This window comes from Homo sapiens, chromosome 6, assembly GCF_000001405.40.
Source record: "Homo sapiens chromosome 6, GRCh38.p14 Primary Assembly".
Lineage (NCBI taxonomy): Eukaryota > Metazoa > Chordata > Mammalia > Primates > Hominidae > Homo > Homo sapiens.
In genome coordinates, this window is record NC_000006.12 from 168,382,734 (window position 1) to 168,384,328 (window position 1,595).

Sequence of the window (1,595 nt, forward strand, 5' to 3'; positions counted from 1 at the left end):
GGAAGGCCACCATCAGTGGCGTATTTTATGGACACTCTCCACCCCCATCCAGCTGTGGACACAGGGCCGTAAGCCTCAGTACCCCTGGAAGGCCACCATCAGTGGTGTATTTTATGGACAGCCCCCACCCCCACCCAGCTGTGGTCACAGGGTACTGAGCCTCGGTACCCAGGGAGAACATGGGGCGGACTTCTCCGTGATCTGATCAAATATTTGGTCAGCTTCCAGGACAAGAGGTGACCCAGCAGATGGGGTTTAGACACTGCAATATTGGTGCTGAGGAGACATTTTGCACGGGCCTTCAGAAGGAAGGAGAAAGTGTGGACCATTTGTGTGTGTGTGCATGTGTGTGTGTGCGTGTGTGCGTGAGTGTGTGCATCCATGCATATTTGCATGTGTGTATATTTGCGTGTGTGCATGTGCGTGTGCATGTGTGCGTGCGTGTGTGCATGTGTTTGTATGTGCATGTGCGTGTGTGCATGTATGTGCGTTTGCATGTGTGTGTGCATGTGTGCACGTGCATGTGTCTGCATGCCTGCATGTGTGTGCATGTGTGTGCATGCGTATTTGCATGTGTGTGCGTGTGTGCATGCATACATGTGTGCGTGAGTGTGCATGCATGCATATTTGCATGCGTGTGTGCACGTGTGTGCGCATGTGCGTGCGTGTGTGCACGTGCATGCATGTGCATGTGTTTGCATATGTGTATGTGTGCATGCGTGTGTGCATGTATGCGTGTTTGTGTATGCATGTGTGCGTGCGTGTGCATGCGTGCGTGTTTGCATGCGTGTGTGTGCATGTGTGTGTTTGCATGCGTGTGTGTGCATGTGTGCATGTTTGCATGTGTGTGCATGCATGTGTGTGCATGCATGTGTGTGTGCGTGCGTCTGTGTGCATGTGTGTGCGTGTGTGTGCACGCGTGCATGTTTGCGTGTGTGTGCGTGCGTGTGTGTGCGTGTTTGCATGCATGTGTGTGCGTGTGTGCATGCGTGCATGTGTGCGTGTGTGTGCATGCGTGTGTGTGCGTGTGTGTGCATGCATGTGTGTGCGTGCGTGTGTGCGTGTGTGTGCGTGCGTGTGTGTGCATGCGTGGCAGTTTTAAGTTACTAGTTTTTAAAGTCAGCACATTTTCATTGAATCAACTTGGTCAAAATCTATTACAGAATTTGGAACCCATTAAAGGAAAGTTCAGTGAGAAGCCCGTGTCTTCTCTTGGTCAACAATGGAACTTCTATGGAAATACTTAGGCAAAGACTTGAGTTTCCTTTGACCAACTTCTGGTGTTGAATCTGCTGAAGCTTGATAGGAATTTGATCATTCTCGGTTAGTAGTTTTTTTCTGGGTGGAATTGCTTTTTCACTACCTGTGTGTAAGGGGAGGAATCATCTGTCCTAAGGACCTGGTGGAAGCTGAAAGGGGCTCTGTTGGTTTCTACATAAAAGTGAAGAGTAAGTCTGTCCCTAAACTGCCTGGGCAGAAGGCCGGCTTCTCCCGGCAAAGGCCACGTGACACATGGAGAATTCAACAGCAACACTGAGTAAATGTGTTGGAATCTCACATTTTAGTTTCCCAGTTACTGACTGTGCATTCCCACA

At 49.8% G+C, this 1,595-nt stretch overlaps 2 annotated features.

The window, feature by feature from the left end:
• Nucleotides 306-807: an enhancer, noted in NCBI's record as "H3K4me1 hESC enhancer chr6:168783719-168784220 (GRCh37/hg19 assembly coordinates)". NCBI's record gives its function as "activates a minimal SCP1, AML or CMV promoter by ChIP-STARR-seq in primed H9 embryonic stem cells {active_cell/tissue: H9 hESC(primed)}" and the evidence as "EXISTENCE:reporter gene assay evidence [ECO:0000049][PMID:30033119]".
• Nucleotides 808-1,307: an enhancer, noted in NCBI's record as "H3K4me1 hESC enhancer chr6:168784221-168784720 (GRCh37/hg19 assembly coordinates)". NCBI's record gives its function as "activates a minimal SCP1, AML or CMV promoter by ChIP-STARR-seq in naive H9 embryonic stem cells {active_cell/tissue: H9 hESC(naive)}" and the evidence as "EXISTENCE:reporter gene assay evidence [ECO:0000049][PMID:30033119]".